Source organism: Homo sapiens, chromosome 20 (genome assembly GCF_000001405.40).
Source record: "Homo sapiens chromosome 20, GRCh38.p14 Primary Assembly".
NCBI classification, from domain to species: Eukaryota; Metazoa; Chordata; class Mammalia; order Primates; family Hominidae; genus Homo; species Homo sapiens.
The window spans coordinates 41,960,404-41,985,997 of NC_000020.11; the positions used below are offsets into that span (position 1 = coordinate 41,960,404).

Consider the following 25,594-nt stretch of genomic DNA (forward strand, 5'->3'; position numbering starts at 1 on the left):
CTGTTGAGCGAGGCTGGGGATGCATTCTTTGCTGTTTGGCTGCTCCAAGTTCACATACATTTTTGACATAAACCTAGTAATTGCTGACTTTAACTTACTATTCTCAGCCTCTGGCTTCTTTCTGATTTATGGCTGGAGCCTTGGGGTCCTTCGTCAGAGGCTCCTTATACTTGCCCATTAGCACTTCTCTTTATATTTGGCAAGGGTCACTGGTACATTCCTCTACAGGCATTTATCAGAAGCTCATGAACATTACAGACAACTCTCTTTCTAGCTCATAGTCTGAAGCTCAACAGATATTTGTGGGGAGAATCACAATAATTATAATTGCTACTAATTTTTGAGCTCTTGGTGTGTGGCAGGTACTATGTTATTCATTCTTTATAGCAATCTATTAAAAGAGGCACTGTCCTTATACCCATTTTACTGATGAGGAAACTGAGGAAGGGAGAGGTTCAATAACTTGTTCCCATATCAGACAACTGGTGAGAGGTGGAGCCAGGATTTGAATCTAGATCAAAACCACTGCTTATAGCCAATATGATTTTGGAAGGTAGGAAGGCAGCAAGGATGGTAGGAGGAGCAAGGAGCAGCTATCATGTGCTTGGTCTGTGAACTGAGTGAAGTCATAACCACAGAGTGTGAGCCTTGAGCCCTTGAAAGGAGAATCTTGGCATGAAGATCTCATCCCAGGAGGCTCTCCGCAACAGACTGGGTTCTGAAATCCACCTCCCATTACCGCTCGCATTGGTCTGACTCTGGATCTCTACAGCTTTTTGCCTCTCCATGAAGGTGGGAGGGTGAATTTCTTCTGTTTGCTCCTCTGGATCCACTCTCTACCCTTTTGCACCCAGCTCTGTGCCAGGGAGGCTGACTGTATGGAGCACTCATGGGCTCCCTTCCTTCTGGTTTCCAGATGGGTTCAGCTGGTTGGCACCAGAAGCAGATCTAAGAGAAGGGGAGGAGTGATGTAGGGATCCTTGCTCCCCTGCCTGCCTCCCTGTGTCTCCACAGGATCTAGGCTCCAGGTAGCTGGCCCTCTCTGCATGGCACTCCCTCTCCAGTTTCCAGTAACTTCCTCCCCTTGCTCCTTATAGGCTAGAGATATGGTTTGGCTGTGTTCCCACCCAAATCTCATCTTGGGTTGTAATAATCCCCATGTGTCAAGGGTGGGTCTGGGTGGAGATAATTGAATCATGGGGGCAGTTTCCCCCATACTGTTCTCATGGTAGTGAATAAGTCTCATAAGATCTGATGGTTTTATAAATGGGAGTTCCCCTGCGTAAGCTCTGTTGCCTGTCGCCATGTAAGGTGTGTGTTTGCTTCTCCTTTGCCTTCTGCCATGATTGTGAGGCCTCCCCAGCCATGTGGAATTGTGAGTCAATTAAAGCTCTTTTCTTTATAAATTACCCAGTCTCAGGTATGTCTTTATTAGCAGTGTGAGAACAGACTAATACAGCTAGGGTGGGTAAGAGCATTCCCTGTTACTGTTCCTGAAGTTCTGCATTATTCTTTGTGGTTTTCCTACATTCTGCCTATACCTTGGTAAATGGTTTTTTTTAGTAAAGTTCCCTTAAATTATCCAATCTGAAGGTAACACCTTGTTATTATCAGCACCCTTACTGATATCCCTGAACTTTAGTTTGAGCCATTTCCAACCTTCAGATGAACAACCTTTACCTGCACCCTTGACTACTCCCACCCCAACTATTCCGTATTGGTGCTCTTTCCTAGCTCTCGCAGAACCATTGTACTGTGGAAATAACACAGGTTTCTGGATTAGTGCTGGGTTCAAAGCCTGCTTCTGACACGTACTCTATGAGTTTGGGCAAGTTACTTGATTTTCCCATGCCTCAGATTTCTCATCTGTGAAATGGAGGATAGTATCACTTCACAAGTTTATCATGAAAATCAAATGGCATAATGGATATAAACTTTTATTAGTTTGGTGCAAAAGTTATTGCAGCTTTTGCCATTAAAAGTAATGCCATTAAAAGCAATTACTTTTGTACCAACATAATAGCTTAGTGTCTGGCAGATAAACATCGGTTTAAACATCCCTCATTTTGCCCGTGCTCTCTTGATCTGTAATTCTCCAGACCACTTATCCATTTTGCTAAGCAGTTCCCCCTGGGTCCTGCCCCAAGATATGGCCAAGGGAACATGGCAGAGAGGAAGGAAGCAACTCTTGGCTCCCCATGAAAGGAGGAATGGGAGGAACTTGGAGGACAGCAAAAATGACAGTCCAAGGGTTTGAAATAATGACACAGGAGAAGGGTAAATAATTGCAAAATGGAAGTGTAAAAGGGGTGATTTAATACTCCTCTTCACATACAGCTCCAGTGTGCCAGTTGGAAATGCTAAAAAGGAGTGTTTCTGATATCCTAGCTAGAGCAAGTTCCAATATACTAGTAATATACAAGTCCAATGGCCAGATGTCCATGGCTCCTACAGAAATGGATAAAGAAAGCCCCCCTTACCTTAATCTTGTGTTTCTTTTTTTTTTTGAGATGGAGTTTCGCTCTTGTTGCCCAGTCTGGAGTGCAGTGGTGTGACCTTGGCTCATTGTAACCTATGCCTCCTGGATTCAAGCGATTCTTCTGCCTCAGCCTCCAGAGTAGCTGGGATTACAGGTGTGTGCCTCCACGCCTGGCTAATTTTTTATATTTTCAGTAGGGATGGGGTTTCACCATGTTGGCCAGGCTGGTCTTGAACTGACCTCAGCTGATCCACCCACTTTGGCCTCCCATAATGCTGAGATTACAGGCATAAGCCACCACACCAGGACCCTCTTGCTTTTCACTGTATCCTAACAAAGCTCTGTCTCCCCAGTGGGAAGATATCTCTTCCCCACTTGGAGTTAAAAGGGCCTGGGTTGAAATTGAGCTGCATATTCTCCTTGCTTGTTGGATCTTGGGAGGGTCTTGACCACTTCAGACATCATTTCCGCCAGATGTGGTGGCACGTGCCTGTAGTCCCAGCTACTTAGGAGGCTGAGGTGGGAGGATTGCCTGAGCCCAGGAGTTCCAGGCTGCAGTGAACTATGCCCATGCCACTGTACTCTAGCTGGGCAACAGAGCAAGACCCTATCTCTAAAAAAATAACAAAACAAACAGAAAAACACATCATTTCCCTCATCCTCAAAATGGGGATCCTTGTAACTACTCATGAGCGTAGCTGGAATGATGGTTGAATCAGGAGCAGAGGATGAATATAAAAGATATGAATATAATATAGAGCCAGAAAAGCATTCAAGCCTCAACCAATGCTGATTTCCACCTTTATTTTCCTCTCACTGTAGCAGAACAGGTGCCCTTTTTCATTTCAGGGGAAATCTGAACAGTTCCTGTCTTGTATTTCTTAAAACAGCTGAAAAAATTCCTTGATTTTTTTTTACCCTTCTTCAGCTTTAGGACTAAATGCCTCTAACCCTCCTTCTCTCTCATCAGGTAGTACATTTTGTTTGTTTGTTTATTTTTTGAGACGGAGTCTCGCTCTGTCACCCAGGCTGGAGTGCAGTGGCGTGATCTTGGCTCACTGCAACTTCCACCTCTCAGGTTCAAGCGATTCTCCTGCCTCAGCCAGCCAAGTAGCTGGGATTACAGGCCTGCGCTTCCACACCCGGCTAATTTTTGTATATTTAGTAGAGATGGGGTTTTGCCATTCTGGCCAGGCTGGTCTCGAATTCCTGACCTCAGGTGATCTGCCTGCCTTGGCTTCCCAAAGTGCCGGGATTCCAAGCATGAGCCACTGTGCCCGGCCCATTTTTTGTTATTGAATTGTCACTTTTGAGGATGCTCTTTTACCCTTGCCACCTTGTCCCTACTCAGCTGTGCACTAAGAGTGAATGTCTGGGTAGGGGTGGGGATGGAGTCCAGAGTACAGTTATCCTGAGTCACAGGAACTCCTATTTTATTTTATGCCTTTCCTTTTGCCCTTCTAGCTTCCATATGAACCTATTGTCCTTCAAAAGAGCTTTGATTTTGAGACTTAGACTTTCTGCTTGATCTGAGGACAGATTGGATTTTGGGAGTTAGTAGTAGAGATAATGAAGACAAAGACCACCTGGGAAGACTAAGATAAATTTTGATCGGTAATTGTATTATTCATCACCTATGTTCTTAATTTGCAAATAAAAAAATGGTCCTATTCATACCTGAGCATTCATAGTTTTCATGAGTGAGGCATATTATGACTTCATGGGTCTGATGTGTTCTTTTTGCAAGCAGGGGTAAATGGAGACATTTCAAGCTTGCCTGCTGCATATTAGGTGTGCCTCAGAAAGAGTTCCTCTGGTCAGAAACCTTTCACAGTCTCTCAGCTTCATGTTCTAATTGTTTTAGAATTAAGCTTTTAAAGCTCAAACATATAATTATTACATTCCATTTCAATCATAATGACTAAACCTGCTGATGTGATTCTTGGCCATCAGGTCTACCTGTTGATGGCCTGTTAGAATCACCTGTGCAGCTTTGAAGAAATACAGATGCCAGGGCCTCACTTCCTGGGGGCTTTGATCCATTCAATCTATGGCAGGGCCTGGGAATCAGAATATTTATAAAGTACCACAGGGGATGCTGATACGTAGCCAGGATTGAGAATCATGGAGCTGGACCACGCAGGGGTGAGGTGGGTGAGTTGCTATTGTCCTACACTTTTATTGCTATTCCCAATGAGATCATTTTTAAATTATTATTATTATACTTTAAGTTCTGGGGTACATGTGCAGAACGTACAGGTTTGTTACATAGGTATACACGTGCCATGGTGGTTTGCTGCACCCATCAACCCGTCATCGACATTAGGTAATTCTCCTAATGCTATCCCTCCCCTAGCCCCCCACCCCCTGACAGGTCCTGGTGTGAGATGTTCCCCTCCCTGTGTCCATGTGTTCTCATTGTTCAACTCCCACTTATGAGTGACAACATGCAGTGTTTGGTTTTCTGTTCTTGTGTTAGTTTGCTGAGAATGATGGTTTCCAGCTTCATGTCCCTGCAAAGGACATGAACTCATCCTTTTTATGGCTGCATAATATTCCATGGTGTGTATATGCCACATTTTCTTTATCCAGTCTATCATTGATGGGCATTTGGGTTGGTTCCAAGTCTTTGCCATTGTGAACAGTCCTGCAATAAACGTATGTGTGCATATGTCTTTATAATAGAATGATTTATAATCTTTGGGTATATACCCAGTAATGGGATTGCTGGGTCAAATGGTATTTCTAGTTCTAGATCCTTGAGGAATTGCCACACTGTCTTCCACAATGGCTGAATTAATTTACACTCCCACCAACAGTGTAAAAGTGTTCCTATTTCTCCACATCCTCTCCAGCATCTGTTTCTTGACTTTTTAATGACTGCCATTCTAACTGGCATAAGATGTTATCTCATTGTGGTTTTGATTTGCATTTCTCTAATGACCAGTGATGATGAGCTTTTTTTCACATGTTTGTTGGGTGCATAAATGTCTTCTTTTGAGAAATGGCTGTTTATATCCTTCACCCACTTTTTGACGGGGTTGTCTTTATCTTGTAAATTTGTCTAAGTTCTTTGCAGATTCTAGATATTAGCCCTTTGTCAGATGGATAGATTGCAAAATTTTCTCTCATTCAGTAGGTTGCCTGTTCACTCTGATGATAGTTTCTTTTGCTGTGCAGAAGCTCTTTAGTTTAATTAGATCCCATTTGTCAATTTTGGCTTTTGTTGCCATTGCTTTCAGTGTTTTAGTCATGAAGTCTTTGCCCATGCCTATGTCCTGAATGGTATTGCCTAGGTTTTCTTCTAGGGTTTTTATGATTTTAGGTCTTACATTTAAGTCCTTAATCCATCTTGAGTTAATTTTTGTATAAGGTGTAAGGAAGGGGTCCAGTTTCAGTTTTCTGCATATGGCTAGCCAATTTTCCCATCACCATTTATTAAATAGGGAATATTTTCCCCATTTCTTGTTTTTGTCAGGTTTGTCCAAGATCAGATGATTGTAGACGGGTGGTATTATTTCTGAGGCCTCTATTCTGTTCCATTGGTCTATATATCTGTTGTGATACCAGTACCATGCTGTTTTGGTTACTGTAGCCTTGTAGTATAGTTTGAAGTCAGGTAGCATGATGCCTCCAGCTTTGTTCTTTTTGCTTAGGATTGTCTTGGCTATGCGGGCTCTTTTTGGTTCCGTATGAATTTTAAAGTAGTTTTTTCCAATTCTGTGAAGAAAGTCATTGGTAGCTTGATGGGGATAGTATTGAATCTATAAATTACTTTGGGCAGTATGGCCATTTTCATGATATTGATTCTTCCTATCCATGAGCATGGAATGTTTTTCCGTGTGTTTGTGCCCTCTCTTATTTCCTTGAGCAGTGGTTTGTAGCTGTCCCTGAAAGGTCCTTCACATCCCTTATAAGTTGTATTCCTAGGAATTTTATTCTCTTTGCAGCAATTGTGAATGGGAGTTCACTCATGATTTGGCTCTCTGTCTGTTATTGGTGTATAGGAATGCTTGTGACTTTTGCACATTGATTTTGTATCCTGAGACTTTGCTGAAGTTGCTTATCAGCTTAAGGAGATTTTGGGCTGAGACGACAGGGTTTTCTAAATATACAATCATGTCATCTGCAAACAGACAATTTAACTTGCTCTTCTTGCTATTTGAATAACCTTTATTTCTTTCTCTTGCCTGACTGACCTGGCCAGAATTTCCAATACTATGTTGAATAGGAGTGGCGAGAGAAGGCATCCTTGTCTTGTGCTGGTTTTCAAAGGGAGTGCTTCCAGTTTTTGCCCATTCAGTATGATATTGGCTGTGGGTTTGTCATAAATAACTCTTATTATTTTGAAATACATTCTATTGATACTTAGTTTATTGAGAGTTTTTAGCACAAAGGGGTGTTGAATTTTGTCAAAGGTCTTTTCTGCGTCTATTGAGATAATCATGTGGTTTTTGTCATTGGTTCTGTTTATGTGATGGATTACGTTTATTGACTTGCGTAAGTTGAACCTGCCTTACATCCCAGGGATGAAGCTGACTAGATCATGGTGGATAAGCTTTCTGATGGACTGCCAGATTCGGTTTGCCAGTATTTTATTGAGGATTTTCACATCAATGTTCCTCAGGGATATTTGCCTGAAATTTTCTTTTTTTGTTGTGTCTCTGCCAGGTTTTGGTATCATGATGATGCTGGCCTGATAAAATGAGTTAGGGAGGATTCCCTCTTTTTCTATTGTTTGGAATAGTTTCAGAAAGAATGGTACCAGCCCCTGTTTGTACCTCTGGTAGAATTCGACTGTGAATCCATCTGGTCCTGGGCTTTGTTTTTGGTTGGTAGGCTCTTAATTACTAGCTCAATTTCAGAACTTGTTATTGGTCTATTCAGGGATTCAACTTCTTCCTGGTTTAGACTTGGGAAGGTGTATGTGTCCAGGAATTTATCCATTTCTTCTAGATTTTCTAATTTATTTGTGTAGAGTTGTTTATAGTATTCTCTGATGGTAGTTTGTATTTCTGTGGGATCAGTGGTGATATCCCCTTTATCATTTTTTATTGCGTCTATTTGATTCTTCTCTCTCTTTACACTGTGAGAGTAAAACCGCCTACTCAAGCCTCAGCAATGGTGGATGCCCCTACCCCCACCAAGTTCCAGTGTTCCAGATCAGCCTCAGACTGTTGTGCTGGCAGCGAGAATTTCAAGCCAGTGGATCTTAGCTCACAGGGCTCTGTGGTGATGGGACCCCCTGAGCCAGACCACTTTGCTCCCTGGCTTCAACCCCCTTTCCAGGGGAGTGAATGGTTCCGTCTTGCTGTCTCGCTGGCATTCCAGGTGCCACTGGTGTGTGAAAAAAACCTCCTGCAGCTAGCTCTGTGTCTGCCCAAATGGCCGCCCAGTTTTGTGCTTGAAACCCAGGGCCCTGATGGCATAGGCACCAGAGGGAATCTCCTGGTCTGCGGATTGCGAAGACCATGGGGAAAGCACAGTATCTGAGCCAGAGTGCATGCTTCCTCACGGGACAGTCCCTCACGGCTTCCCTTGGGTAGGGCAGGGAATTCCCCGACCTCTTGCCCTTCTCAGGTGAGGCAACGCCCCACCCTGCTTTGGCTCATCCTCTGTGGGCTGTACCTACTGTCCAACCAGTCCCAATGAGATGAACTGGGTACCTCAGTTGGAGATGGAGAAATCACCCACCTTCTGCGTCGATCTCGCTGAGAGCTGCAGACCAGAGCTGTTCGTATTCGATCATCTTACCAGCAAATTCAGGACCATTTTTATTTAACAAGACAATAAAGAAACCATGCTCAAGCTAGCATTTAGCCAGAGGCAGAGAGTACCCAGCACATTTAGTGCTGGCTGTTTAGAATACAGAGGACAATAGACAACTGATTGAGGTAGTTTCTCGTGTCAAATCAGTGTAATCTTGAGCAAGTTCCTTCCCTTCCCTGGGCCTCTGCTTCCTGATCTTCAAAGCAGGAGAGTTGGATGAAACACTTTCTGTGTGTCTTGCAGTGTTGACACTTGTCATTGCTGTGACTTTACTGTGAAGACATCTCATTGTTTAGTGGAGGAAGCCAAGTGCCCTCCTGCCACCCCATGGGGAAACACAGCCACCAGAAAGAGGAGGGAGAGGTGGTGTCTGGGGAGATGGAGGAGTCTGACTGCAGAGTTAGCCCTGGGGTGACTATAGGATTAACACGAGGCTCTCCAGTAAGGGCTCATTACCCCTTGATGAAACTCAAATGTCATCATGGGCACTCTGTTCTTACAGGATGGTAGCTCTTGGAATCTCAGAAGTTGGTAGAGTGGATATCTGGCTTTGGAAGGAGAAGGTCCTTTCTCCTTAGGGGAGACAGCCATGCACATGATCCGTAGAACACGGAGGGTCCAGAGATCTGAGAACTAAAGTTTATGCTTTGCAAACTGTAACAGTGTGATAAATATGAATTATTATCAACATGATTCTTGCTATTATTAAATCCTCACACTGCAATGTTAACTGGTTCATGTTTCAGCCCCAGCTCAGCCACTAGTTGGCTGTGTGATCTCAGACAAGCCAAGCTCCATCTCTGAGATATAGCTGCTTCATTTGCAAAGTAAGAAGGTAGACGTGCATGATCAGCTGAAGATGCTTCCTGCCTCAATCCAGTAAGTGTGATCAAGATGTTGAAATTAGTGGTTGAACAATCAGTAATCAGAAGCTCACCTTTCAAAAAGAAAAAGGCCAGCTGGAAAATGACATAATTAAAAGAGGAAAAGAAAACTCTTTCTCAAGAGGCTGCTCTTTCACAAACAGTCAGCATGTCTGTGATATTCCGTGTAGCATATTCCGATGACAGGGAAACACAGTGGATGTGCTGAAAGATGAGCAGCAAGTGGTAAGTGGAGGTGTTTGAAATAGAAAAGTCTATTTTAAAAGACGACTAATAAAGCTGGAGGAGGCGGCCCACACTGAAGCAGTCTGAGCCAACATCCTGTTGCCAAGACTCCAGTCCCCGCTGCTGTGCCCGGGGCCCTGGGACTGTCCTTGGCACAGCATGTGAGCCAGTAGGAAGGAGCAGAGGCTAGAAGCAGGGGCTGGGTTTCTGTCTGAGGAAAGGGGCCCATGGAGAGGGGCCCCAGGGAAGGGGCTGCCTGTGGCTTTGGCAGAGGAGACCCCTGCCCTTCCTGTGACCCCAGCCAGCTCCAGGCATGGTAGGGGGATGGGTACATTTCTCTAGGCGCATGCAGGAGCTGCACCGGTGCTGGGAAGAAGCAACAACACAACAGTTAAGAGCGGAGACCTAGAGCCAGACCGAGTTTGAATCCCGGCTTGTATCACTTAATAGCTGTGAGACTGTAAACAAGTTACTTAACCTCTCTGTCTGTCATCTTTTCTTGTCTATAAAACTTAATAATATTAGCTAATCATAGGGTTGCAGCAAGGATGTAAGTTAATTTTGTAAAGGATTTGGGACAGGGCAAACAGTACACTAGAGATTGTGTGTATTTTATATACATATAAAATATCTTATGTTTATTATATATAATATAGCTATTATATATTACATATGTAATACATATATAATATAGACATTATATATATGTATTATATATATAATAGAGGGATATATATGTATACATAGATGCATAAAATGTGGCCTATGAGTTGGGCCCACCCGTTTCTTGGGCAGAGGTCCAAGGCTAATCAGTGCCCTTGGTCTTCAAGTAAATAATGAAGCTCTGAAAGCTAATCTATGCTAACACCCTCAAGGTCCCGGTAACCCCTCTCTGGTCTCCTCTGAGCATTAGGCCAGATCTGCAGGAGGAGATGCTCAGGCAGCCCCAAGCCACAGCTTAGGACTGACCAGACTTCTCCCTGAGCTCCAGGCCCATATACCCAACTGCCCAGTGAATGTTTCTACTGGGATATCCACAGACATCTCTACTCATCATGCTCCCAAACCTACTCATGACCCAATTCCTTCCAGTGCAGACCTTTCCTTGTTTCCAGTCTCAGTGAATGACAATACCTGTGGGGAAAAGCAAGAGAGATCAGATTGTTACTGTGTCTGTGTAGAAAGAAGTAGACATAGGAGACTCCATTTTGTTCTGTACTAAGAAAAATTCTTCTGCCTTGAGATTCTGTTAATCTATAACCTTACCCCCAACCCTGTGCTCTCTGAAACATGTGCTCTGTCAACTCAGAGTTAAATGGATTAAGGGCGGTGCAAGATGTGCTTTGTTAAACAGATGCTTGAAGGCAGCATGCTCCTTAAGAGTCATCACCACTCCCTAATCTCAAGTACCCAGGGACACAAAAACTGCGGAAGGCCGCAGGGACCTCTGCCTAGGAAAGCCAGGTATTGTCCAAGGTTTCTCCCCATGTGATAGTCTGAAATATGGCCTCGTGGGAAGGGAAAGACCTGACCGTCCCCCAGCCCGACACCCGTAAAGGGTCTGTGCTGAGGAGGATTAGTAAAAGAGGAAGGAATGCCTCTTGCAGTTGAGACAAGAGGAAGGCATCTGTCTCCTGCCTGTCCCTGGGCAATGGAATGTCTCGGTATAAAACCCGATTGTATGCTCCATCTACTGAGATAGGGAAAAACCGCCTTAGGGCTGGAGGTGGGACCTGCGGGCAGCAATACTGCTTTGTAAAGCATTGAGATGTTTATGTGTATGCATATCTAAAAGCACAGCACTTAATCCTTTACATTGTCTATGATGCAAAGACCTTTGTTCACGTGTTTGTCTGCTGACCCTCTCCCCACAATTGTCTTGTGACCCTGACACATCCCCCTCTTTGAGAAACACCCACAGATGATCAATAAATACTAAGGGAACTCAGAGGCTGGCGGGATCCTCCATATGCTGAACGCTGGTTCCCCGGTTCCCCTTATTTCTTTCTCTATACTTTGTCTCTGTGTCTTTTTCTTTTCCAAATCTCTCGTCCCACCTTACGAGAAACACCCACAGGTGTGTAGGGGCAACCCACCCCTACAAATACCATCCTTCTAAGAGAGTATTGTAAAACTTTATTTACAAGATGGTGTTGCAATCCTTTAGCCCTCCCTCTCCCTGACCCAATATCTCATTTCTGGACAAGTTGTATCCATCCTTACTGTGTTCATCTCTGTATCTCCAGTAGTCTGGGATGTCATTGATTCTCGCCAGTGTTTGCTAGAAAGTTGAATGTATGAATGAATGAATAAATGAAGATGGTGCCTACACATCATCATAATAACAATCAAGGATTTATCGAGTACATACTGTCTTCCAGGCACCATTCTAAATGCTTGGTATATGTGCATTCCACACATATAAGAGCTTGACATATCCAAGCCTCATTGTGACGATCCCTGCATATGTGTTGAAAGAACACAAAGCATGCATGAGGAAGTCAGGTCTTGGTGGGTCCTGGGTAGAGCTTCTGGGTAGAACTTTCATAATCCCTCAAAGCCAATGGTGTTTCCTTACTTTACAAAGCCTTCTCAGAGCCAGGTTCTACTGAGCTGTGTCCGGCCCAGTACAGTGCAGTTTCTGGACCGTTTTTCTCCCCTGCCGGGAAGATGCAGAAGCTGCCGCTTCACCGAGTCCTCTAATAGCAAGGCCTTATTTTCTCTGCCACCCTGGGGCCCTTGCTCACCATGAGCTTACTTCTGTGCAGCTCCACACAACACACCGTAAAAGGAAAATGGTAATTAGAAGTAACGCTTGAGCAGGGGAACTTGCGTGGAAAAATGCTTTAGTTAAAAGAAGCAGTAAAGATTCCTTTAAAGTGTTAGACACACACACACCCATCTAGCTGTTCTCCTTTTGAAAGGAGGAGATGAGAGGACACACAAGGTGTATTGTGCATCTGTAGGCACCGCCTCCTTAGGGCTTGAGGTCGGGCCAGTCCTCTAGGGATCCTGCTGAAGTGGCCAATGGGATTGAGTTTACATCTCAGTAGCCCAGGACCAAAAGTCTAGCCCAACCAGATGGAATGTAGCAGGACTACATCCATAGCAGGGTCTCTGTGTGTATCCAAAACAGCTGCACAGGGACAGGATTGTGGAGACAGAGGATGGCAGCCCCTACAAGGACATCCCAGCTCCTGCTTCCTTTTTTCATAGCATTTATTGTCACCCAAAGCTATGTTTTTGCATGTTTGTTTATTACCTTATCCTCAACCAGATTGGGAAGCCCATGGAGGTAAGGATTTTATCAGTCAAGTTCACCTCTGTATGCATGCCATGCACAGAGCAGGGCACATACATAATTGGCGTTTTAGAATATTTCATGAGGGAAGATTCTTTGATTGCAAACTGCAGAATCCTGATGTCCCAAATGTTGCCTGGTGCATCATAAGCTTCTAGAACACAAGCTTTAAGAGAGCAGGGTCTTTGCATGTAGCATTCCAGTAGCTGTTCTGGAGTGAGGGTTAGCACGCTTTTCCTATAAAGGGATAGAGAGAAAAGATTTTCAGCTTTGTGGGCCAGGTGGTCTCAGCCACAACTACTCAATTCTGCTGCTGTAGTGTGAAAACTGACAGACAATATAGAAACCAACAAGTGGGCATGGTAATGTCTCAATAAAACTTTATTTACAAAAACAGGCAGCAGGCCAGATTTGAAGTAGTCTTCCAACTTCTGCTCTAGAATATAAACTCCATAAAATAAGGGATTTTAAAAAAAATGTAGATCCATAACCAGCACTTGCAACAGTGCCTAGCACACAATAAGTATGCAATAAAACATATGTTGAATGAATGAGTGAGGGGCTAAAAGTGGTTTTAGTCAACAGCTTGCTGTGGGTCAGGGTCATTATGTGTGTAGTTATATTGGCCTACTGAGCTAAAGACACTCTGGAAGCAGATACTGGAAGCCTCCTGTGTTCTGGGCTAGTTGGATGACACCTGGAATATCATTCCCAAAGCTAAGGGTCTAGAGTGCATGTAGAGGACAGGGCCTGAGATGGGGCAGAGACAGGTGACCTTGTGACATGGAGAATGGTGGAAGGAAATGGACAGACTGAGCCTAGAGAAGAGAAGAGTCAGGGAAGAGACAGTTTATATATTTCAGGACTTTCATGTGGTAGAACAATGAGATCTTTCTAAGAAATAAGAGGGCTATTTTTAGAACTTTCTGTAAGTTAGGTAGACCTTGGTGAGAGTGAGCTCTCACTCTACTGGGAGCGTTCAAACAGCCATGGGGATGCTGTGGAAGGGATTCACATATTGGAAGGGGGCAGGATTAGATACTGTTGGGTCACTTTTGACCCCAAGAGCCATTCTCACATGCAGCACTGCAGCACAACAGTCTGCAACACTGTTTCCCAAGCAACAGATGGTGACTGCCCTCCAGACAAAACCAGAATCCCCTGACTTGTATAGGAGGCCCCTTAGGGTTGTCCCTAGCCTTCTGCTTCAATCGCCCTGTTCCCATCTCCTGTTATCTGTACCACCTTCAACGAACACATTTTGGCATTTCTCATTCCCCTCTTGTTTCTCCTCTCCTGGCCTTTACACATACGATGTTGTATTAGTTTAGGTTTCTCCAAAAGGAGAACTGAGGCAAAGATCCAAGTGGGTGTAGTTTAAGAGTTGATCCTAGGAAGCATGGAGAGGGAGCAGGAAACTGGGAAGGAAAGGCAGCTAGTAAAAGTTACATTAGCAAACCCACCTTTGCTAATGCTGTGCTGACTGGAGCTTAACCCACTGGGGAGTGTCTGGGAGCCAGTGTATATCACATCACAGAGTCATCCTCCCCTGAAGAGTGAGAGAACTGGGGTATTTATACATCAACTCCCATCAGTCGTTAGTTGAGGAGGTGTGGGGAGGAGGGTTGAATGTTAATTTTCTAGCACCTCCAGGTCTGCCACTTACATGGGCAAAAGTGAGCTTTGGAAACAGGAGAAAGCCCTGAGGCAAAGAACTGCAGGTGTGGCAGTTGGAGGTGCAGCACTGATGTGATTGAGGGTGAGGGGCCAAGAGTAGGGCACCCAGCCATGTGTGCTGAAAGCTGCCTTCTGCTTGGAACTCCCACCCCACTCTTCTGTTTTGATTTTGATCCCACTTCATGGTCACATTGGCTGCTATGTAGGAATAAACAGCTCCTGGTTCAAGAGTTGTGATGAGTAAAGCATTGATTCACTCCTGCTCAAGGTCAAACGTGAGTTTGGTTAGGCAGTTCTCATCGCTGGTCCTGGGAAACAGATCAGGTTCACTTATTTGTGCAAAGGCAGGACATATGTGTCCTGCTGTGATGGACACATGTCTTGATAATACAAGACAGCATCGACACAGGCCTCATTGACCATTTCACCACCTGGTCCCATCCAGTGCCATTGTAAAACATACCTTCTACCTACTCAGGAACCACTCATTTGGGCCCTTAGTGGGAGATGGTTCATAACCTCCTTCAGACGTAATTCCAGTGCCAGTCCTCACAGGGTCCAGATCACTACGGCTGGTTTAGCTCCCAAGCCCTTGTATTCCTCCCTTCCTCCTCACTGGCTCCCAGCATGCCTTGTGGCTGACTGGCAGAATATAGAGACAAGGAAAAGAGACATTCCACCCTTTCCATGTGCATCCTTTATTCATTCACTCATGCTGTAAATATTGAGTGCCTACTATGAACAAACCAGGCCCTGGCCCTGTCCTCATGGAGTTCACGGTCTAGAGGAGAAGACAAACATTTAATCAAATAACCAAACATATATGTAATTACAAACTATTATGAAGTTGGTTTGGAGATTTGCAGACTGCTGGCTTCTTGACATCTGGGGAAGAATTCCTAGGCCTTTGCAAATTCTTCTGTGTGGGTTCAGGGTGGAAAGCAGTGTATGGTAGAGACCAAAGCAGATGGGTGAGTGTGCTGATCTTGTGGAGGCTTGGTAATTATAGCTGGTGCATTATTAATAAACATTCTGTCTCTGCTTCCTAGTTACGTACAGTTGCTTGGGCCGAATGCTGTTAAGCTTGAACCACGAGCTCTAAATTGTTCACCTTGTCTTCCTGTTTAATGAAAGGTTTTAGGAAGTACAGATCTGTTAGCAGGGGAGCACAATTGTTTTTGAAATCAAGAGAGCCCAAGAAATCTTAGGGAAGTGCTGGCTGATGATGATAATACTGGAGTGTCTGATGGGCAGGTGGAGGTCCCACTCAGCTTCGTAATAGGTGAAGACAGCCAGAGGGGTGAGGAAGAAAGAAGGGTCTGCTGCTTGCCCTTTCCCAGGAAGCCCAGTTGAAAACCTGAGGGATGGAGCTGCTACACTTGTTTCCTAACATCATCTGTTTTTTTTTTCTTGCTGCTGTGAATTGCTTTCTAGTTCTCAAGAGCATAATGCAATATCAACCATTTTGACTAGAGCTTTGTCCTTGGGAGGGAGTTTTCACATGAACAGGAGGCAGCAGAAAGCCAGGAAAAACAGCATTGACACGTTAGGTCCATTACACCCCAGGGAAAACTTTCCCACAGCAAGGTCACTAGAGGCAGCCTCTACACACAATGACTCCTGGGCAGAATTCTGCCCTTGGATAGATAGGGAATGACCTTGGCAAATGCAGAAGCCATTTGGATCCATTTTCAGACCATCAAATTTGGCTTGAGAGAAGTAGAATTAAAAATAAAAATCAATTAACACTCTTAGTGTCATTTGAAAAGTGAAAATTTCATGGGTTTTACATTCAGCTGTGTGACCCTGGATTTAAGGCAGCAGTGACCTGGGGTAAGTTTCTTGACATCTCTGAGCCTGGGATTTCTCATAGGTAAATGATATTCATTCAACAAACTTTTACTCTGGGATATAATGTCTGGGGATGTGGGAAGCTGTAGTTTTAAGGCCAGGTACAGGCCTAGGGATGGAACAAAAGAGAGGTGCATGGGGCTCTATTCCTTGGTGAAACATAGAAAGATGGTGAAAGAAATCTCTGTTTTGGGTAGGTCAGACATCCTGCACCGCATGAAGCACATGTTTGAAAACGGCCACTACCTAAGAGTGTCACCACCAAGAACCATTTAATTACTCACCTTCAGGCAGCAATGGGGAGGGAAGGGAGAAGTCCACTCACATTTCCTGAGTGCCTCCTGGGTGTCAGGAAGCACCCTATAAACATGCATGTATCACATTGAGTCTCCATCTACTCAGCTGGGAAGGTGTTACAGTTCTCCTTTTACAGATAAGAAAATGGAAGCTCTGAGAAGTGAGTCAACATCCTTGAGGTCAACACAGCTAGGAGACAGCAGAGCTGAGGTTCAAATCCAGATTTAACTGCTTCCAAAATTCTCACATTTTTTTCCATCAAGGAGATATCTAAGCTCCTATCTAGATCTCCATCCCCACAGACACCCTGGGTTGGTTCGGTTTTGGGGGATGAGATAGGACAGGCATAGAAGAGTGCATGTGTGCACCCTGCACCCACATAGGTAGTTCTGGTACCTTCTCTATCCCCTTCTGGACAATCTCAGCCAAATTTATGACAACTTCTGCATGCAGGTGACCTCCAAATTTCAGCCTTTAGCACCAAGCTCTCTGTTGAGTGCCACACCCAAATATCCAAATGGCTATTTGACGTCTGCAGCTGGATGACCTATGGGTACTCCAAACCCAGAGTGTTCATGAGTGTCCATGCATGCCCAGATTGATTACAGGCTTCCTCTCCTACTCACTGGCTCCTCCTCCATTATTCTCTGACTCAATGGATAAATCTGCTGAAGTTGGTGCTCTTTACAGCTCCGTGATCAGTCAGCCCAAGATCTTTGCTCTAATTTCTCAGTCATGTCCTTCCTCAAATGATTCTTCCTGCCATCTTCCCTAATTGGAGCACAGACCATCTCATGGAGGGACTGTCGAAGTATTCTCTCCCCTAGGGACTCTCTCTGTTCTCCAACTCATACTTTAACCTATTGTCAGTGTCTTGGTGGAAGGTGCAGGACCTTATTAGGTGGACATTGGGAGATGGTCATGTGGGCTAGATCTTTATTACTCAAAGTGTGGTCTACAAACTGGTAGCATCAGCAACGCTTGGGAACTTGTTAGAAATGCGGAATCTCAGACTCCACCCCAGACCTGAGAAATCAGAATCTGCATTTTAATGGGCTATCCAAGTACTTCATGTGCCATATTAACATTTAAGGAGCACCAAGATAAAGTGAACAGCAGGAGCAAACTGCAAAGGTCAAAAAGAATTGAGCATTTTCAGTGAAATATGAAGAAAATTGTTTGACCAGAGGGGAGGGGAGAGTAAACAAAAATCTGACAGCTGGAACTCTATGCAAGGCCAAGACATTACTCTGTGCATGTTAATTCCACAAAGCCACTCTAGGAGGTATTGTAATCCCTGAGAAACTAGAAGGACTTGGAAGGATGGTCATTATATTCATTCAAAGATCAGGGAACTGAGGCTAACAGGTGGTAAATTATTTGTTCAACTTTCCATAGATAGTAAGTAGTACGGTCAGGATCTGACACAGACTTCTGATCTCCAGTGCTCCAGTTGCCTCAGTTTAACAGATATAGCCCATTTCCCCATCACCGACCTTTGCAGAGCTGTGGTTTTCCAACTTAAGTGTGCATTAGGATTACCTGGAGGGCTGGTTAAAACAGATGGCGGGCCCCACCCTCAGGGTTTCTGATTCAGGAGCTCTCAAGAAGGGCTGGAGCATTTCCATTTATAACAAGTTCTCAGGTGATGGTGATGCTGCTGGTCTGGAGGCCACATCTTGAGAACCTAACCTGTGAGACTGACGTCATCTACAGGTAAGCTTGTTGGAAGAATAGCTGCTTATCACCATGTGTTTCCAAAGACTGAGATGGTTATTGGCTCTCATAGCTCACTTCATTTTTTCCTTACAACTATTCAATGCAGACAATATCACTTCCCATTTACACAGGCTGCAACTGGTGCTCAGAAAGATTCAGTGTATTTTTTTGTGGTAACACACTTACTAGAAGGCAGGCCCATACAAGCCCATTAACAACTCTAGCCTTGTAGTGTACAGTCTCAAGTTGGGAGGTCATTAAGGAGCCTCCTACTCTACTTTCAGTTAAAAGATGGGGAAATGTAGGCCTGGAGAGCAAGTGAGCTGCCTGGAGTTCCACAGCAACATAAGGGGATTGCCAGCTGGGGAACCCTCTCTTCTGACCCCAGGGCTAGTCACTGGCTCTTCCATCAGCTACTATGGAACTCTATGGACTTTGGCTCCCCAAATATTCACCAAGGAGCATTGCTCAGGACTTTAGACACTTTTCAAGGCCACGCATATTGGCTTGACAGACCATAGCAACAAGAGCCGACAGTTATCACGTACTTACTCGGTGCTGGTCACTTTTCAGTTAAGTGCCTTGGATTGACCCACCTGATCCTTGCTGCAATGCTATGGGTTGTCCTTTGCTGTGCTATGAGATGGATGCAGAGGTCAGCTGTGATCTCTGCCCTAGGGGAAACTCAAAGTCTAGAGGGGGAGACAGGCAAGCTCACAGAAATCTCAGTGTATTTAAATAACAATAGGCTGTGCACAGTGGTTCATGCCTGTAATCCTAGCACTTTGAGAGGCTGAGGTAGGAGGATTGCTTGAGGTCAGGAGTTTAAGACCAGCCTGGGCAACATAGTGAGATCCTGTCTATACAAAATAATAATAATAATATCAAAACAATAGTAACACTTTGGTGAAGATTTGCTACTTGTCAAGTCTTCATTTGGGTTAATTGATTTGATTTTTTTATAGCCAACTATGAAGTAAAGAAGTATTATTACCATTTTTACAGCTGAGGTAACTCAAGCTTACAGAGTGAGTGTGACTTGGAAATGCCAGAAGTTTCAAAGGAGCTGAGTGCAGGTCTTTCTGATGCCAGAACTAGCACTTTTAACCCTCTTATTACACCACATGTATGTGAATGTGTGTGTCCACACTGCACAAGGGGGAGCATCACCCTTGGCTTATGAAAAAAATGAAGGCAAAGGGCAGGAAAGATATTTATCCAGGTAGAGATTATGGTTTTTCAAGCACATTGCTGCAAAAGAAGCCAAGGCCAGTCTTCAGTGGGCCACACTCTGATGTGCTAATTATAAGTGAACTCTTAGCTGTTCATTAAAGATAGATCTTTTTCTGTTCCTTTATTTCCCTGCAAGCAGTCTTGACAGCATTGCTTTTAAAAATATTCTGTAATTCAGAGCGTTACACTTCACTAATTTACCCCCTGCATCTCTTCATTACATCACAGGCACCCCTTGTCTTCTCATCTTCCCCTATGATCCCTGAGTGGGGTTATCCCTATCCTCAGTCAGTGAACATATTTAGCTGAACCCTAAATCCCAAGGATTAAAGGCAATTAAATGAGATAATGCATATGGCGTCACTTTAAAACCATAAAGGGCCGCACAGATGCGAAGGGTTATTATTATGAGCCTTCCCTGTTAATGAGTATTAATGAGCTAAGGCTGCAGATTCCTAATGTTACAGAGCCCTAATATTAACCATATGGAAGCCTAATTTTCAAAGAGAATTAGAATTAACTGGAAGAAGAAGCTGCAAAAAATTTTGAATTCAATTCCCTCTCCTAATTCTTGGTATCTTGACCGCAATCTGCATGAAGCTAAACGGTTATGTGATGACATACTGGTTTATCTTTATTCTTAGCTAATTGCTTTAGGATACCTGCCCCCATATTATTCTGCATTTTCATGGTTCTCTTGATAGGGACCTAGATTTTTTTTTCTGCGAATGATGTAACATGTCTAATTTGAGCTTTAGGGTATATGGATACTGGAATTGAGAGGGCACATCAGAATCCAAAATATTTCAAGTTCCTTAAAGTCAAGGAGTGATTGGAAACACCTGCAGCCAGGCTGACTTCGCTGAGTTGTGACTTGAGATATTCCATGTAAAGTTCTTGCACAGAGCTTGGCACAAAAAAATGTAACATTATTGTCCTTATCATTTTTGAGTCTCTGACAGATACATAGACAGGGTTTTAGATCACAAAGCCTTGAAGGGCAGGGTACACATTTAGGTATTATTTTCTAGACTGTGGGGAGCCACTGAAGATTCTTGGGGCGGGGATGTTGAGCACAGTTTTGTGTTTTTGGGGCTTTTAACTCTAGCAGCTGGTATAGGAGGGAATATAACCACTGGTGTCAGGAAATCAGGTAGGAAACTGTTTCAAAAATCTATGAGAGTTGATAGGGGCCTGAACTGGGCAAGGCCAATGGGCTGGGGAAGAAAGTTTACACACAAGAGATTTTTAAAAATTAGCATAGATAGAACTTGGTGATTGATCAGCTATGGGCTATGACAAAGAGTGAGACTCAAAAAGTCTAGGTGATTTTTTAGGTTTAAGTTACTGGGTGAAGGAAGCCAACCAGGATGAATACAGGAGAAAGAGCTGCTTTGGGGGTGAAAGGCTGAGTTATATAAGTAGAGCCAAAGCCTTCATTCTAGTGGTTGGCATGGCTGTTGAGTTCCAGGACTATTTGGGAACAGAACATGCCAAGTAAAATGAAAGTATAAAATCAGAAGGATCTTGAGTGATCTCTTAATCCAGTCCCATTATTTTATAATTGAGGAAACTGAGGCTCAGAGAGGGGAAGTGACTTTTTGAAAACCACACATCCTTTATTAAGGAACCAGGTCTGGTTTCTGAGTCCCTCACCACCTCAGATCAGAGCTTCTTCCTATCCCACCCAAAATGTAAAGACAGAATCTGCTTCAGGCTACATTGTTTTCCAGAAAGAAATGAGACTTTGCCAAACTCTGGGGGAATTTTTCAAGCTTTGAATATATCTTGTTTCCTTTTAAATGAGTCCTAGTTTGTAGACATATCAGTGCCTGAACATAGACACCCACAGAATCACCCACAACTATGATTGAGGGGAGGAGGTGTCGAGCAGACAGCATGGGTGCCTTGGGAGAGGGAAAGGGAGGTGGGAATGTGGGAAAATTGTGCTCTGGGCTCCCTGAGAGGTGGTGTGAAGAGGGCAGCACTAACAGATAGGGAATAAGGCAGGTTAGAGGCACTGGTGCTGGGCGCGCTGAGGGAAGGGGACCAGGGATGCCATGAAGGCCAAGACCTAGGGGTTAGACCCAGCCAGGAGAAAAGAAAGGCTTTTTCTTGAAGAGCTCAAAATATCTGCCTTGGGCAAACAAGATGGAAACTCACAACCTCACAAGCTCTTCAATCACCCATCTCTGGGGGAGTCAATGCCATAATGCACCCATGCCAACCTCTGTGCTTGAACATCTCCAGTCACAAGGGAACGCACTTTTAAGTTCTATCCCCTTAGACCTCTAGTAGGTAAAATCCATTCTCCCACTGATGAGTGGAGAGAGATTCCTGAGAATGAGCAGAAATCTCTCCTTACAATGTTTCTCTGTGGCTCTTAGTTTTTGTTCTTTTTCCCCTGACATTTACACCTGTATCACTAGGCAGATTACATCTTTCTACAAGTCACCAACAATAGTTTGGGACAGAATAAATCCAAGAACAAAGCTCAAGCTCCATGGCACACTATCAGGGTACAGAATTTGCCAAGCACATTCTGCAAAGTTTGCAAAATGAAGATGGGGCCTGATTGGAGAAGCTGGGGAATGAATCCATGTGCCCCTTGCATGGCCTGCTGTTCCAACCTATGATGGACAGGCAACCCTCCTCAGGAACTGCAATGTTCTTGCCCAGGGTATTAGAATAGGGGGCAAGAGAGAGATTCACCCCACCAAGTTACTTGCTCAAAGTGCCATGGAGCTGTCAGCCTAGGGAGGGAACAGCCACTGCCTTGTTCTGCCCTAAGATGCCACAGGGTGTGTGCCTAACTTTGACACACACACGGGTTGCCTGCCCCTACTGTGTATCATTGGGGATCTCTCTACCAGATGGACCCTAATCCTTTGGGAATAGCTATGTAGCCAATTGATACTTTGCTAATTGCTCTTTTATTAAAACCATATTTCTGCATATTATCCATCTAACATATATATCTCTCCATATAGATTTATATTGATTACCTATTTTCTCCAAAAGCCAGGAGTGGTGGTCCCTTTTGTGCAGCATGGAGACACACATTCACATGCAGGTGGCATGATGTAATGAGAGGGTTAAAAGTACCAGCTCTAGAGTCAGAAAGACCTGCATTCAGCTTCTTTGAAACCCCTTGCATTTGTAAATCACCAGCTCTCTAAGCCTGAGTTTTCTCATTGTAAAAATGGTAACAACACTCCTTTACTTCATAGTGCGGCTGTGAAAAATCAAATGATCCAAATGAAGGCCTGACAAGTAGCAAACACTCATCAAAGCTTTACTGTTGTTTTTATTATATATAAATACACTGAGATTTCTGTGAGCTTGCCTGTCTCCCCCTTTAGACTTTGAGTTTCCTGAAGGGAAGGGACCATAGCTGACCTCTGCATCCATCTCCTAGCACAGCAAAGGACAACCCTGTAGCATTGTAGCAAGGATTAGATGGGTGAGTACAAGGCACATGATTGAGCAGCGACCTGCATGGAGTACGTATGTGACAATTGTTGGCTCTTGTTGCTATGGTCTGCTAAGCCAATATGCATGGCCTTGAAAAGTGGTGTCTAAAGTCCTGAGTATTGCTCCTTGGTGAACATCGGGGGAGCCCAGGGCCCAGGGAGGGTCCATAGTAGCTGATAGAAGAGCCAAGGACTGGCTCTGGGGTCAGGAGAAAAGGTTTTCCAGCCGGCTCCTTCCCCACCCTGCTGAGTAGCATTAGCAGAACCCAAAAGAGACCTATAATTTTAGGAGAGGGCCAAGTGGTAGGAGCTGTGGCCTTGGGTAGGGGAATGCAGCCGTGGCTTACTCTGGTTTAGCAGGACTTAAGAAAATAAATGTCTTGGCTTTCCTCTACGTCCACTCTTCTATCTCCTCCTTGTGTTTTTTATTGGCTAAGCCTAGCTGAAACCAGAGAGCAAGAGAGGTTGGTGATAGAGCCATAGAAGTCATTCTCTTGGGATTCATAGGAGAGTAGGGATGGGCAGGGTGGGGCAAGGGTGGGTGAATGAGAATGTCCAGCCAAGACCCAGGCACTGGCCTCCTCTCATGCAAGCAGATCTCCTTGATCTTCTAAACCAAGCCACAGAACCCTATCATATTTTGAACAATTTTTCAGTCCCAGTTCCTTGGGGCTTTAGCTTCCCTATCCATTTTACCCATCAGTGTCACACTCATACCAGCCAGCCCTTGGTGATGTGTCAATTTTCCATCTTCACCTGACTTTTCAAAACTCAAGTCCCTGGGGAGATCTCTATGTGTAGGCTCCACCTCTCTTCCTGGAGCCACAAATGCTCAGAACTGGGGCTTTGAGAGCTGCCCTGAGTCGTCATCTCTGTCACATCTGATGACAGTTTTTATTAGGACTTTCTGAAAGCTGCTTTCAGTTTCAGGATGTGTGTCCAACCTTTTCTCAGCCATTAGGAACCCTGAGCTGATACAGTCACTTTCCCTCAAGGCATCTGTCACTTACAGTTTGCCAACCAGTTCCTCCTTGCTGGTCATCATTAGGGCCGGAGAAGCAGGTCCCACTGGGAGTTGAGGTAGTGAGGGAGAGAAGCCAAGAACTTTTTAGATTCATGTCTTTAGTCAAATGAGACTTGGAATAGCCATGTGGCAGGTTAAGCCTTCCATCACTTTTAGAGTTGGTCAGTCCCAGGCCCCTAACTATGCCCCCTTGCAGTCCCTAAAGACCTGTCTTAATTTCATCCCAGGGCCCAGTACCTACTCTCAGACTCTCTGGTAGCTATTGTGGCCTGCTCCCTCATCTGCCCAAATGCAAGGAACTAGAAATAGTGCCTCATTGCAGCCCCTCGTCATTGTATGATCCCAACCTACTCCAAATACCCACCATCTATCTACCCAATTACCACTGTGCCCTTCTCAATCTTCTTCAGATGAACTGATCCCTTGGGTGGTAGACAGAATAGTAATCACCTTTCCCCTCAAAATGTTCATGACTGAATCCCCAGAATCTCTGAACATATCATCTTATATGGCAAAAAAGACTTTGCAGATGTGATTAAATTAAGGTTCCTGAGATGCGAAGATTATCCTGGATTATCCATGTGGGAGTCAATGTAATGACAAGGGTCTTCATAAGAGGGAGGCAGGGGTCAGATTTAAAGAAGGTGATGTGATAGAAGCAGAGGATGGAGTGCTGTCATTTCTGGAAGGGGCCATGAGCCAAGGAATGTGGGCATCCCTAGAAACTGGAAAAGGCAAGGAAAGTATTCTCCCTGGAGCCTCCAGAAGGAGCAGAGCCCAGCTGACCCCTTTATTTTAGCCCAGTAAGACCTGTTTTCAGCTTTCTGATTTATGCAACTGTAGGAGAATAAATTTATGTTATTTTAAGCCATTAAGCTTGTGGTAATTTGTTACAGCAGCAATAGGAAATGAATACAACCTGCTACTCAAGAAGTGTGGTCTACAGCAGGGGTCCCCAACCCCTGGGCCATGGACCAATACCAGTCTGTGGCCTGTTAGGAAGTAGGCCACACCAGCAGGAGGTGAGTGGCAGGCCAGCGAGCATTACTGCCTGAGCTCTGCCTCCTGTCAGATCAGCAGTGGCATTAGATTCTCATAGAAGTGAGAACCCTATTGTGAACTGCTAAAGCGAGAGATCTAGGTTGTGCACTCCTTACAAGAATCTAATGCCTGGCCGGGTACAGTGGCTCACACCTGTAATCTTAGCACTTTGGGAGGCCGAGGCGGGTGGATCACGAGGTCAGGAGTTCAAGACCAGCCTGGCCAGCACAGTGAAACCCTGTCTCTACTAAAAATACAAAAATTAGCCGGGCATGGTGGCGCACGCCTATAGTCCCAGCTACATGGGAGGCTGAGGCAGGAGAATCACTTGAACCCAGGAGGAGAGGTTGTGGTGAGCCGAGATCATGCCACTGTACTCCAGCCTGGGCAAGAGAGCGAGACTCAGTCTCAAAACAAAACAACACCAAAACCAAAAAAAAAAAAAAGGATTTAATGCCTGATGATGTCACTGTTTCCCATCACTTCCAGATGGGACCAGCTAGTTTTAGGAAAACAAGCTCAGGGCTCCAACTGATTCTACTTTATGGTAAGTTGTATGATTATTTCATTATATATTACAGTGTAATAAAAATAAAGTGCACACTAAATGTAGTGCACTTG

At 44.5% G+C, this 25,594-nt stretch overlaps 1 long non-coding RNA gene across 2 annotated transcripts in view, besides 2 other annotated features; it reads left to right on the forward strand.

The window, feature by feature from the left end:
- The window catches only part of LOC101927182 (uncharacterized), a 204,657-nt gene that overhangs the window by 56,556 nt on the left and 122,507 nt on the right, over window positions 1-25,594 (forward strand). The window lies entirely within an intron of this gene.
- Window positions 10,916-11,828: an enhancer, noted in NCBI's record as "OCT4-NANOG-H3K27ac hESC enhancer chr20:40599959-40600871 (GRCh37/hg19 assembly coordinates)". NCBI's record gives its function as "activates a minimal SCP1, AML or CMV promoter by ChIP-STARR-seq in naive H9 embryonic stem cells {active_cell/tissue: H9 hESC(naive)}" and the evidence as "EXISTENCE:reporter gene assay evidence [ECO:0000049][PMID:30033119]".
- Window positions 11,829-12,740: an enhancer, noted in NCBI's record as "H3K27ac hESC enhancer chr20:40600872-40601783 (GRCh37/hg19 assembly coordinates)". NCBI's record gives its function as "activates a minimal SCP1, AML or CMV promoter by ChIP-STARR-seq in naive H9 embryonic stem cells {active_cell/tissue: H9 hESC(naive)}" and the evidence as "EXISTENCE:reporter gene assay evidence [ECO:0000049][PMID:30033119]".